General features: G+C 47.5%; 1 long non-coding RNA gene across 1 annotated transcript in view, besides 3 other annotated features; it reads left to right on the top strand.

Annotated features, from left to right (window-relative positions):
• Positions 1–12,742, top strand: part of DLGAP4-AS1 (DLGAP4 antisense RNA 1) — a 65,574-nt gene that overhangs the window by 478 nt on the left and 52,354 nt on the right. Inside the window, exon 2 of the long non-coding RNA NR_109939.1 lies at positions 1,255–1,357. This is a non-coding gene — a long non-coding RNA (DLGAP4 antisense RNA 1). The remainder of the gene's footprint in view (positions 1–1,254; positions 1,358–12,742) is intronic.
• Positions 25–84: an enhancer, noted in NCBI's record as "active region_17809". NCBI's record gives its function as "activates an Ori minimal core promoter by ATAC-STARR-seq in GM12878 lymphoblastoid cells {active_cell/tissue: GM12878}" and the evidence as "EXISTENCE:reporter gene assay evidence [ECO:0000049][PMID:35858748]".
• Positions 703–1,255: an enhancer, noted in NCBI's record as "OCT4-H3K27ac hESC enhancer chr20:35199946-35200498 (GRCh37/hg19 assembly coordinates)". NCBI's record gives its function as "activates a minimal SCP1, AML or CMV promoter by ChIP-STARR-seq in primed H9 embryonic stem cells {active_cell/tissue: H9 hESC(primed)}" and the evidence as "EXISTENCE:reporter gene assay evidence [ECO:0000049][PMID:30033119]".
• Positions 9,623–10,188: an enhancer, noted in NCBI's record as "NANOG hESC enhancer chr20:35191013-35191578 (GRCh37/hg19 assembly coordinates)". NCBI's record gives its function as "activates a minimal SCP1, AML or CMV promoter by ChIP-STARR-seq in naive H9 embryonic stem cells {active_cell/tissue: H9 hESC(naive)}" and the evidence as "EXISTENCE:reporter gene assay evidence [ECO:0000049][PMID:30033119]".

Genomic DNA, 12,742 nt, shown 5'->3' with positions numbered 1-12,742 from the left:
AGCCTGATCCCTTACCCCTTGTGCCCGGCCTTAAACGATCAGTCCAGGAGCTCCCGGAGTTCCTGTCTGGTTTCTTTTTCCTCTTCTGCCAGTTACACCCTACTCCAGAAGGTTTTCCTTGGCCTCCCCCACCCCAGTCAGTACATTCTTCCCTGCTCTCTGCTGTGGGTACCACATACTGTGATATTTCTGTTAACCAGCCTCTTAGGGCATCCCCCCACGCCCCCCAGCCCTGTACCCGGACACGGCTAGGTCCAGATATCTAGGGCCCTTGAGCTTGGAAATCGCTTTGAAAACAGCTTTTGGACTTAATTACCCTTTAGCAATGGAGAACTCTAGGAACAAAACTCTTAATTTTTTCCAAACAAGCCTTAAGCCAATCAGAATGCTGATTAAAGATTGTTAAGGTTTCACCTGGACACCCCATAGAAGCCAGACTTCCTGCAAATGTTAAAAACCTCCTCACGGCAGCGGGTGAAATGTCAGTGGCACTGCCTGTTGCTCTCCATTTCACAGACAGGGAAAATAAGGCCCAGAGTGTGGGTCAGAAACAATTTTTTTGGCCGGGGAAGTGGTGCTCCCCCCACGGCCCTGTGAAAGAAAAAGCCACGTCTGGGTTGCCTTAGGTAAGAAATGTAAAACCAATGGGCCTTGGCCTCTAGGAAATGTATGGGACAGGGACCTTCAGAAGAGGGGAGCCCCAGGGGGAAATGGGTGCGACCAGGTGAGCCTGGAGAGGGGGCTCTGGTAGTGGCTGCTGAGCTTGAACTCCGCACTAGGCGTTTTTCTCCTGTATGCGTAAGAGCCACATTCTGCCCTTTCTGGGGAAGCCACTGGGGGCCTGGGCTAGAGGAAGAGACCGCACCGTAAATTGTGCCTGCAGCAGCCCCTTAGACGAGTGTTTCCCAAGTCTGGTGCTAGATGTGGTTGGGAAAATGGAAGCGGGGGAGTGCTGCCTCCTCCTCCACCTGAGAGCTGCATAACAAAGACCTGGAGCCCCTCCTCTCTCCTGGAGGACGGGGTAGTGGTGGAGGGAGGCTGGTAGCCGGTCAGATTTTGCACGTAAGCAAGCTTCACAGATAAAGCCTAAGTGCAATTAGAGTTTGAGAATTACCGTGTCAAGTTTCTGAACTAGTAAGTATCAGAATTTAAAATGTGTAGATTCTCTAAGACAGTAATTCCACTTCTAGGAATCTGTCTTTTGAAGTAGCTGTACAACAAAGATAAATGCTTATAGAAGATTGTTCTTTGCAGAACTGTTCATTCGGGAAAATTGCAAACAACTAAATACCCCTCACCAGGAGCTGGCCCATTATAGCAACTCTGAGACCTCTCTACCGCAGGCTCTTAAAATGGGGTAAGTTGGTGCGCGCTAATGTAGGGGCATGACCAAGGTATATTTATTGACAGCTTACAGTGTCCCAACAAGGAGGGACTTTGGACATAGTTGGTGAGAACTTTAGTGGGAAAACTTTTTCCAAGTGATAAGTTATTGTCATTTTTCTCTCCCCTACTTTCTTTTTTCTTTTTTTTTTTTTTTTTGAGACAGAGTCTCGTTCTGTCGCCCAGGCTGGAGTGCAGTGATGCGATCTCAGCTCACTGCAACCTCCACCTCCCAGCTGCAAGCGATTCTCCTGCCTCAGCCTCCTGAGTAGCTGGGACTAAAGGCGCCCACGCCCACCACCGTGCCCAGCTAATTTTTGTGTTTTTAGTAGAGACTTGAGTTTTGCCATGTTGGCCAGGCTGATCTTGAACTCCTGACCTCAAGTGATCCACCGCCTCAACCTCCCAAAGTGTTAAGATTACAGGTGTGAGCCTAGCTTTCTCCTCCTCTTTCTAAATTAAAAAGAAATATTGTGATAAGAAGCTCCTCCTACCTTTTTTCCCCATGTTTGAAGAAACTGGGTTGCTAAGGGAAGAAAAGACTTGCCTAATAGGAGTTTGGGGTCCTGACCCCTGGAAGGGAGCTGGGGATAGACTAGGAGAGGAAGGAGAGGTGGAAAGGCATCCAAGCCCAGACCAGCCTGGCTGCCCAGGTCATCTAAGTCAGTTCCCTGCCTCCGTACCAGAAAAACCCAAACCGGAGGCTCTTGGATGTGAGGCTCCAGGTTCATCCTGCCAGTTTCTAGTGAACTTGGTGATCACATAGGTTTAAATGAATAAATCCACTTTTGTTAAAAAAAAAAAAAAGTGAGCCGCTTCCTTTTTTTTTTTGAGACAGAGTTTCGCTCTTGTTGCCCAGGCTAGAGTGCAGTGGCGAGATCTCGGCTCACTACAACCTCCGCCTGCCAGGTTCAAGTGATTCTCCTGCCTCAGCCTCCTGAGTATCTGGGATTACAGGCATGCACCACCACGCCCGGCTAATTTTGTATTTTCAGTAGAGACGGGGTTTCGCCATGTTGGCCAGGCTGGTTTTGAACTCCTGACCTCAGGTGATCTACCTGCCTTGGCCTCCCAAAGTACTGAGATTACAGGTGTGAGCCACCACACCTGGCCACCGCTCCCTTTTTGATGGAAGTGGGGAAAGGCACCAGCATTCACTGAGAATCCATATGAGCCAAGTTGCATCTCAGGATAAAGGAGAAGATGGGCTTCTGTGGGGTAGAGGGAAGAGTCCAACAAAGGCCAGGGAGGGTGAAAGTGTTCAGGAAACAACTGGATTGGTTGAGATGGAAGGGCTGTGAAGGCCAGGATGAAGAATTTGGATTTGGCAGTGTGGGCAGTAGAGAGCTCCAGCTGGTTCCTGCGGAGAGCTGGGGAGAGACTGGAGGGAGGATAGTTGGTGACTCAGCTCTGGATAATTGAGGCCGAGCGGATGGAGACCCGCCTCTGAGATCTAGGGAGATTTGTGGCTGTTATGTGAGGTTCTGCATTTTCATCTAATGTTGATAAGTGGAATTCCACATCTTCCTCCTGAAAAGTCTTGCAGTGTCTTGTTGGTCAACCACAATTTGCCTAGCTTTCTCCTAGTTGTTGGGTATTTACTCACGTAACTAATTTCTGAGTGCCCACCTGTGTCTGGCTGTGTGCCTATGGCTGGAAAACCTACAGCCAAGCTTACTCCTGAAGGCTTTGGGCGACAGTGCCTTGCGGTGGGAAGGCTGTGGCCCTGGGACTTGGTTACTAGCCAGGTGATTTAGGAAAATCATCCACACCTTCTGAACCTCCCTTTTCTCATGTTGTGGAAACACAAGGCTTCGGTGAGAGTCAAAGAAAACAGGCACACCCCTTGTTTCATTGTGCCTTGCTTTTTTGCGCTTTGCAGGTACTGCGTTTTTTTCAAATTGAGGGCTTTTGGCAACCCTGTGTCGAGCAAAGTCTACCAGCATTATTTTTCCAAAAGGATGCTCAGTATGTGTCTCTGTGCCACATTTTGGTAATTCTTGAAATATTTCAAAGTTTGTTATTATTATATCTAGTATGGTGATCTGCGATCAATAATCTTTGATGTTACTATTGTAATTGTTTTGGGGCATCATGAATGATGCTTGTGTAAGACGGTAAACTTACTCCATCAATATTGTATGTGTTCTGACCGCTCCACCAACCAGCTGTTTGCAATTAGTAATCGTACAGTGGCCTCTAAGTGTTCAAGTGTAAGGAAGAGTTGCAAATCTCTCACTTCACATCAAGAGCTAGAAATAATTAAGCTCAGTGAGAAAGGCATGTTGAAAGCCAAGATAGGCCTTTTTTTTGTTTTTTTAGTTTTTAGTAGAGACGAGGTCACGCTATGTTGTCCAGGCTGGCCTCCAACTCCTGGGCTCAAGTGATCCTCCTGCCTCAGCCGTCCCAAGTGTTGGGATTAAAGTTGTGAGCCACCATGCCCCGCCTCTGGAGTAGCACTTTTAATTTCACTCAAGAACAATTGGCTGGGCGCGGTGGCTCACACCTGTAATCCCAGCTACTGGGGAGGCTGAGGCGGGAGAATTGCTTGAATCTGGGAGGCAGAGGTTGCAGTGAACTGAGATCACGCCACTGCACTCCAGCCTGGGCGACAGAGCAAGACTCTGTCTCAAAACAAACAAACAAAAACTATCTGGCTAGGTCTGGTGGCTCATGCCTGTAATCCCAACACTTCGGGAGGCCGAGGCAGGGGAAGGTCTCTTGAACCCAGGAGTTTGAGGCCAGCCTGAGCAACATAGCAAGACCCCCTCTCAACAAAAAATAATCAGCTGGGCATGGTGGCGAATGCCTGTAGTCCCAGCTACTTGGGAGGCTGAGGTGGAGGAAGGCTTGAGCCCAGGAGGTTGAGGCTGTGGTGAGGTATAATTGTGCCACTGTACTCCAGCCTGCGTGAAAGAGTGAGACCCTGTCTCAAAAATTGGCCAGGCGCAGTGGCTCATGCCTGTAACCTGAGCACTTTGGGAGGCCAAGGCAGGTGGGATCACTTGAGGTCAGGAGTTCGAGACCACCCTGGCCAACATGGTGAAAGCCCATCTGTACTAAAAAGAAAAAAAAAATACAAAAATAAATAAAGAAAAAGGTGCTATTTCAGTGAACACAGTAATAAGAAAGGGAACAGCCTTATTGCTGATATGGAGAAAATTTGAGTGGTCTAGATAGATGATCAGACCAGCGACAACGTTCCCTTAAACCAAAGCCTAATCCAGAGCATAAGCCCTAACTGTCTTCAATTCTCTGAAGGCTGAGAGAGCTGAGGAAGCTGCTGAAGAAAAGTTGGAAGCTATCAGGCTTCAGTAGGCTTTTTTTTTTCTTTTTTTTTTTTTTTTTGAGACGGAGTCTTGCTCTGTCGCCCAGGCTGGAGTATAGAGGCATGATCTTGACTCACCACAACCTCTGCCTCCCGGTTTAGGCGATTCTCCTGCCTCAGCCTCCCGAGTAGCTGGGATTATAGGCGCAGGCTACCACGCCCAGCTAATTTTTCGTATTTTTAGTAGAGATGGGGTTTCACCATGTTAGCCAGGCTGGTCTCGAACTCCTGACCTCAAGTGATCTGCCCACCTCGGCCTCCCGAAGTGTTGGGATTACAGGCGTGAGCCACTGCACCCGGCCAATTTCTGTATTTTTAGTAGAGATGGCGTTCCACCATGTTGCCCAGCCTGGTTTCAAATTCCTGACCTCAGGTGATCCGCCTGCCTTGGCCTCCCAAAATGTTGGGATTACAGGTGTGAGCCACTGTGCCTGGCCTGGAATTTCTTTGATGAGAGCTATGCCTTGACAGTCTCATTTTTCCATTGTACTAGAAGGTCTGGGGCCCTGGGAGCTAGTGCGGCATGAAGGCCTGAGTGGGCTCTGTGCCTTGCTGACAGTGTTCCCAAGCTGAGTGGAGGAAGACTAAGGGTCTGGATATCCTCAACACTGAGTACATGAATTTCTGTGTAACCCTTCTGTTGTTGCTGTCTTCTCCTCTCCTGTGCCTGGTGTTCATCTGTCCAGGACCTTCTGTATTCTTTGGATAATAAATTTCTGATCTCTTGTCGGGTCTAGGTTGCAGCCTTCATAGGATCTAGGAGTCCACTGCTTTTTTTTCTTTTTTCTTTTTCTGAGACAGAGTCTCGCTGTGGTGCAATCTCTGCTCACTGCAACATCCGCCTCTCAGGTTCCCGTGATTCTCATGTCTCAGCCTCCCAAGTAGCTGAGATTACAGGCGCCCGCCACCACACCTAGCTAATTTTTGCATTTTTAGTAGAGACATGGTTTCGCTGTGTTGCCCAAGCTGGTCTTGAACTCCTGAGCTCAAGTGATCCACCTGCCTCGGCCTCCCAAAGTGTTGGGATTAAAGAATAGAGATAAGGGAGGCACAGAGGGGCTAAGTAACACCTGAGGTTATAAAACTGGTCATTGGAGGAGGTAGGATTTTATTCCTGAAAGGTTAATGGTAATATTATCGTCTCCATTTCTGACTCTAGTAATTTCAAGTCTTTTTTCTTTTTTTCTTGGTCAGTCTAGCTGAGGGTTTGTCAGTTGCTTTGACTTTTTTCAAAGAACCAACTTTTGGTTTTATCAATTTTCTCTATTGTTTTTCTGTTCTCTATTTCATTCATTTCTGCCCCAGCATTTATTGTTTCTTTCCTTTTGCTTACTCCTGCTTTTGCTCTTCTTTTCTAATTTTTCTGGTATCTTAAAGTGGAAGGTTAGATTATTGATTTACAATCTATATTTATTTATTTACTTTTTTCTTTTCTTTTGAGACAGAGTCTAGCTCTGTCCCCCAGGCTGGAGTGCAGTGGCGCAATCTAGGCTCACTGCAAGTTCCGCCGCCATGGTTCACGCCATTCTCCTGCCTCAGCCTCCCGAGTAGCTGGGACTACAGGCACCCGCCACCACACCTGGCTAATTTTTTGTATTTTTAGTAGAGACGGGGTTTCACCGTGTTAGCCAGGATGGTCTCAATCTCCTGACCTCGTGATCCGCCTGCCTCAGCCTCCCAAAGTGCTGGGATTACAGGCGTGAGCCACCGTGCCCGGCCTACAATCTTCATTTTTTTTTTAAATAGGCACATATGGGCCAGGTGTGGTGGCTCATGCCTGTAATCCCAGCATTTTGGGAGGCCGAGGTTGGGCGGATCACCTGAGGTCAGGAGTTCAAGACCAGCCTGGCCAACATAGTGAAACCTCGCCTCTAAAAATAGAAAATTAGCTGGGCATGGTAGCACATGCCTGTAATCCCAGCTACTCAGGAGGCTGAGGCAGGAGAATCGCTGAAACCTGAGAGGCAGAGGTTGCAGTGAGCCCAGCCTGCGCCATTGCACTCCAGCCTGGGTGACAGAGCAAGACTTTGTCTCAAAAAAAAATTAATAAATAAAAAATAATAAAAAAAATAGGCACATATGGCCAGGCATGGTGGCTCATACCAGCACTTTGGGAGGCTGAGACGCGGGTCGCTTGAGCTCAGGGGTTTGAGACCAGCCTGGGCAATGTAACAAGACCCCATCCCTACGAAAAATAAAAAATTAAGCCAGGTGTTGGTGGCTTTTGCCTGTAGTTTCAGCCATTCCAAAGGCTGAGGTGGGAGGATTGTTTGAGCCCAGGGGTGTGAGGCTGCAGTGAACCCTGATTGCATGACTGCACTCCAGTGTGGGCAATAAAGCGAGACACTGTCTCAAAGGAATAAAAAGGCATTGATAGCTATGAATTTTCCTTCAAGCACTGCTTTAGCTGCATTTCATAAGTTTTAAGCCTTTTTATTCATTTCATAATATTTTCTAATTCCCCTTTGGATTTCTTCTTCGAATCATTCATTATTTAGAGTATGTTGTTTAATTTCCACATATTTCACATATTTGTGAGTTTCCCATGTTTCCCAAATTTCTAATTTCATTATAGTGTCCTCAGAGAACACACTTTGTATTATTTGAGTCCTTTTAAATTAATTGAGGTTTGTTTTATGACCTAGCATATGGTCTTTCCTGGAGAATGTACCATGTCCACTTAAGAATAATGTGGCCCTGGCATGGTGGCTTATGCCTGTAATCCCGGCACTTTGGGTGGCTCAGGTGGGAGGATCCCTTTAGCCCAGGAGTTGGAGACCAACCTGGACAACGTAGTGAGACCCCATCTCTACAAAAAATAAAAAAATTAGCTTGGGTGGGGCATGCCTATACTCCAAGCTACTTGGGAGGCTGAAGTGGGAGATCACCTGAGCCTGGGAAGTTGAGGCTGCGGTGAGCTGTGATCACGCTTCTCCACTCCAGCCTGGTTGACAGAGCAAGATCCCATCTCAAAAAAATGAAAAAAGAAGAAAGAATGGTATTCTGTGGTTGTAGGGTGCCGTGTTCTGTAGATGGGTGTTAGGTCTACGTGGTTGGTAGTGTTCTGTGGTTGTGGGGTGCAGTGTTCTGTAGATGGGTGTTAGGTCTATGTGGTGGGTAGTGTTGTATTCTGTGGTTGTAGGGTGTGGTGTTCTGTAGACGGGTGTTAGGTCTAGGTGGTGGGTAGTGTTGTATTCTGTGGTTGTGGGGTGCAGTGTTCTGTAGACGGGCGTTAGGTCTAGGTGGTGGGTAGTGTTGTATTCTGTGGTTATGGGGTGCAGTGTTCTGTAGACGGGTGTTAGGTCTAGGTGGTGGGTAGTGTTGTATTCTGTGGTTGTAGGGTGCAGTGTTCTTTAGATGGGCGTTAGGTCTAGGTGGTGGGTAGTGTTGTATTCTGTGGTTGTAGGGTGCAGTGTTCTTTAGATGGGCGTTAGGTCTAGGTGGTGGGTAGTGTTGTATTCTGTGGTTGTGGGGTGCAGTGTTCTGTAGACGGGCGTTAGGTCTAGGTGGTGGGTAGTGTTGTATTCTGTGGTTATAGGGTGCAGTGTTCTGTAGACGGGTGTTAGGTCTAGGTGGTGGGTAGTGTTGTATTCTGTGGTTGTAGGGTGCAGTGTTTAGATGGGCGTTAGGTCTAGGTGGTGGGTAGTGTTGTATTCTGTGGTTGTAGGGTGCAGTGTTCTTTAGATGGGCGTTAGGTCTAGGTGGTGGGTAGTGTTGTATTCTGTGGTTGTGGGGTGCAGTGTTCTGTAGATGGGTGTTAGGTCTAGGTGGTGGGTAGTGTTGTATTCTGTGGTCGTGGGGTGCGGTGTTCTGTGGACGGGCGTTAGGTCTAGGTGGTGTAGGGTGCAGTGTTCTGTAGATCGGTGTTAGGTCTGGGTGGTTGGTAGTGTTGTCGTGTGTTCAAGTCTTCTGTTTCCCTATTGATCTTCTGCCTACTTGTTCTATCTGTTATTGAAAGTGGGAATTGAAGTCCAACTATGACTGTTGAGTTGTTTCCTCCCTTCATTTCTGTCAGCCTTTGTTTCCTGTATTTTGGTGCTCTGCTGTTTCCGTATATGTTTAAAACTTTACCTGTTTCTGATGGAATGACCTTTTTAAAATTATAAAATATCCTGCTTTAGTAGGAAATAGTATCTTAGACCCAGACAATCTTGACTCTTGAGCCTGTGCTCTTATGCCCATCCCAACTGCCCTGTCCCTGAAGGTGTGTCCTCTGGTATTTCTCCACCTCCTATATCCTCATTCATTTTGGATTCATCTAAGTGATCTTTGTCAACTTGGTCTTCCTGCTCTGGATCTTGATAAGACCAGTTGAAATTTTATTCCATACTCTGAGGAAGTCCTCAGCCCTTTGCCAGATGCCTGTAGATTCCTAGTAGTTCCCATTCTCCATCATCTTGGCCTCTGGGGCCTGCTTGCCTACAGCCTACCCTGGTGCTGTGTAGTTGCTATGGCTTGAATGTGCCCCATGAGCAAAGTTCATGCGTTGTAAACTTAATCCCCAATGCAATAGTGTTGAGAGATGGGACCTCTAAGAGGCTCTGCCCTCATGAATGGATTAATGCTCTTACCACAGGAGTGGATTCCTGATAAAATGTGAGTTCAGCACTCTCTTGCCTTCTGTCCTGTGTACTCTCTCACCATGTGAGGCCTTCCACCATGTGATGAGGCAGCAAGAAGGCCCTCACCAGATGCAGTTCCTTGATCTTGGACTTCCCACCCTCCAAAACTGTGAGCCAAATAAACTTCTGTTCATTATAAGTTACCAGTCTCAGGTATTCTGTCATAGAAGCACAAAATGGACTAAGTTGATAGTTTCCACAGTTCAGTCTTTCCCCTTCATCTCTGCCAGGCTCCCCTTAGACTCTGCAGTCACCAAACCTTGGTAACTCCGCAGTCACCAAACCTTGGTAACACAAGTGAATTGAGCCCTTTAGTGCTGGAGGGTGAGACGAAAGGCACACTTGACAGAAACACAGAGGTCAGTTTCCATGTTCTCCATCCTTGGGCATCCTCTGGGCCCTGGCTTTGCAGAGTTTGACTTGGCCCACCAGTACCCAGCCTCCTGTCACTATCCAGCTCCTGGCTCTGGTCTCCTCTTCAGTCCGTTTCCCAGCCCTCCTTCCCTCTCCCCTTTCCTCTCTGGAGCAAAAACACTTCTCTCCCTCTGCCTCCTGCAGAGCCATTTAATGGCTGCTTTCGTTGTCTTTGTTTCTTTGGCCCCCAAGTGTCAGGCTCTAACTGTCTTCCTTGGTTAAGCCCAGAGTAATTTAGTAAGAGGGATATGGAGGCAGTTAGATAGGAAAATTTCCCACCTGGCTTCCCATGCTGGCTTTTTTTTTTGAGACAGGGTCTCACTGTGTCACCCAGGCTGGAGTGCAGTGGTGTGATCTCAGCTCACAGCAACCTATATCTCCCAGGTTCAAGAGATTCTCACCTCAGCCTCCCGAGTAACTGGGATTACAGGTGTGTACCATCATGCCCGGCTAATTTCATGCTGGCTTTCTTGTTGCAACTTTCTACTGTGGTTGGGTGAAATATTTTATTTATTTATTAAAGACAGGGTCTGACTCTGTCACCCAGGCTGGAGTGCAGTGGCGTGATCAAGGCTCACTGCAACCTCCGCCACCTGGGCTCAAGCAATCCTCCTGCCTCAGCTGCAGGAGTAGCTGGGACTACTGTTGGCATTTCCTGGACATTGTGGTGATTGGTGGGAGAATATATATATATTTTTTGAGATGAGTCTTCCTATGTTGTCCAGGCTGGTCTTGAACTCCTGAGCTCAAGTGATTCTCGTGCCTCAGCCTCCTGAGGAGCTAGGATTACAGGCAGGAGCCATCACACCTGTCAGGAGCAGCATATTTGAAGTCAGGACTTTTCCAGAAGAATATCAGAGATTTGTGATTCTCAGGGAATTATCAAACTGAGGCCCAGGCAGAGCTCACAGCAAGTCAGTGGTGGAGCCAGTTCCTCAGGCCCCTGCCCTGGGATGTATCTTGACTTCGGTGAGCCCTGAGGTGGGTATACCTTGGGTCATCCCCCGCTTCCCCGAGCTTAACTTCCCATCTGGGAAGTGGGTGCAGCCCTGTCTCTTCCTGAGGCTGTCATGAGAGAGAAGCAACAAAATGCTCCTGCCCTGCCCTGCCAATGGCTTGGCAAGCAGTAGGGAAAGTTACAGAAAAAACACCTTCACTGGTCACATTCGATGACCTCCTATAATTACCTGATGTGTTTCTTTTTAAAAATTAGTTTATTTTTGGAGACAGGGTTTCACTCTGTTGCTTAGGCTGGAGCACAGTGGCTCAATCTCAGCTCACTGCAACTTCTGTCTCCCGCCTCAGCTTCCTGGGTAGCTGGGACGACAAGCGCATTGTACCATGCCTGGCTAATTTTTGTATTTTTTGTAGTGATGGGGTTTCACCATGTTGCCCAGGATTGTCTCAAACTCCTGAGCTCAAGCAACCTACCCACTTTAGCCTCCCAAAGTGCTGGGACTACAGGCATAAGCCACTGCGCCTGGCCAGTCTGATGTGTTTCACAAACCAGTGTGTATGTAGCTGGGCATGGTGGTGCGCACCTGTAATCCTAGCTACTCTGGAGGCTGAGGCAGGAGAATCGCTTGAGCCCGGGAAGTGGAAATTGCAGTGAGCCGAGATTGTGCCACTGCACTCCAGCCTGGATGGCAGAGTGAGACTTTGTCTCGAAAAAAAAAAAAAGTGTGTGTGTATTTCCTTTTTTTTTTTTTTCGAGACCGAGTTTCACTCATGGGTTGCCCAGGCTGGAGTGCAGTGGCGCAGTCTCGGCTCACTGCAACCTCCGCCTCCCGGGTTCAAGCAATTCTCCTGCCTCAGCCTCCCAAGTATGCTGGGATTACAGGCATGTGCCACCATACCCAGCTAATTTTGTATTTTTGGTAGAGACAGGGTTTCACCATGTTGGCCAGGCTGGTCTCGAACTCCTGACCTCAGGTGATCCACCCACCTTGGCTTCCCGAAGTGTTGGGATTACAGGTGTGAGCCACTGCGCCCGGCCGTGTGTGTGTATTTCATATGAGAAAGACTAGTTTCTGTAGTAAGTCAAATTAACAGAGAATATTTATGTTTTCCATGGAATGGCAGGAAGCACCAAAGAGAAATCTGTCCTTTTTGGTTGAGGACAAAGCATATGTCCATGCAAAATATTTGTATATGAATATTCATAGTAGCCTTATTCATAATGGCCCCAAACTATAAGCAACCCAAATGTTTATCAACTGGTAAAAGGGTAAATTGGTTGTATTCTGTCTATACAGTGGAATATTTCTCGGCAATCAGAGCTATAGTTGCACACAATAACATAGGCCAGTCTCACAAATATTATGCTAAGCGAAAGAAGCCAGACACAAAATAATAAATATTGTGTGACCCATTCATATAAAATTCTAGAAAAGCCAAAGAAATTTATAGAAAGTAAATCAGTGGTTTCCTGGGTTGAGGGATGGGAGAAGGGCTTGACTTAAAGAGGGGCATAAAGGAATATTTGCCAAAACTAATTTTATTAAGCCAATGGAGTGGGCACATTATATGGGTTTTCTTTTTTTTTTCTTTTCTTTTTTTGAGAAGGAATCTTACTCTGTCGTCAGAGCTGGAATGCAGTGGCGGGATCTGGGCTCACTGCAACCTCCTCCTCCCAGGCTCAAGTGATTCTCCTGCCTCAGCTTCCCGAGTAGCTGGGATTACAGGTGCATGCCACCACGCCTGGCTAATTTTTTGTATTTTTAGTAGACATGGGGTTTCACCATGTTGGCCAGGCTGGTCTCGAACTCCTGACCTTGTGATTCATCCGCCTCAGCCTCCCAGATTGCTGGGATTACAGGCATGAGCCACTGCGCCCAGCTCTTTTTTTTTTTTTTCCTATTATTTATTATTTTTATTTTTGAGACAGAGTCTCGCTCTGTCACCCAGGCTGGAGTGTAGTGGTGCAGTCTTGGCTCACTGCAGCCTCTGCCTCCTGGGTTCAAACAATTCTCATGCCTCAGCCTCCCAAGTAGCT

The sequence above is a fragment of the Homo sapiens genome, chromosome 20 (assembly GCF_000001405.40).
Source record: "Homo sapiens chromosome 20, GRCh38.p14 Primary Assembly".
NCBI lineage: Eukaryota > Metazoa > Chordata > Mammalia > Primates > Hominidae > Homo > Homo sapiens.
This window is presented reverse-complemented; position numbering and strand designations above follow the sequence as displayed.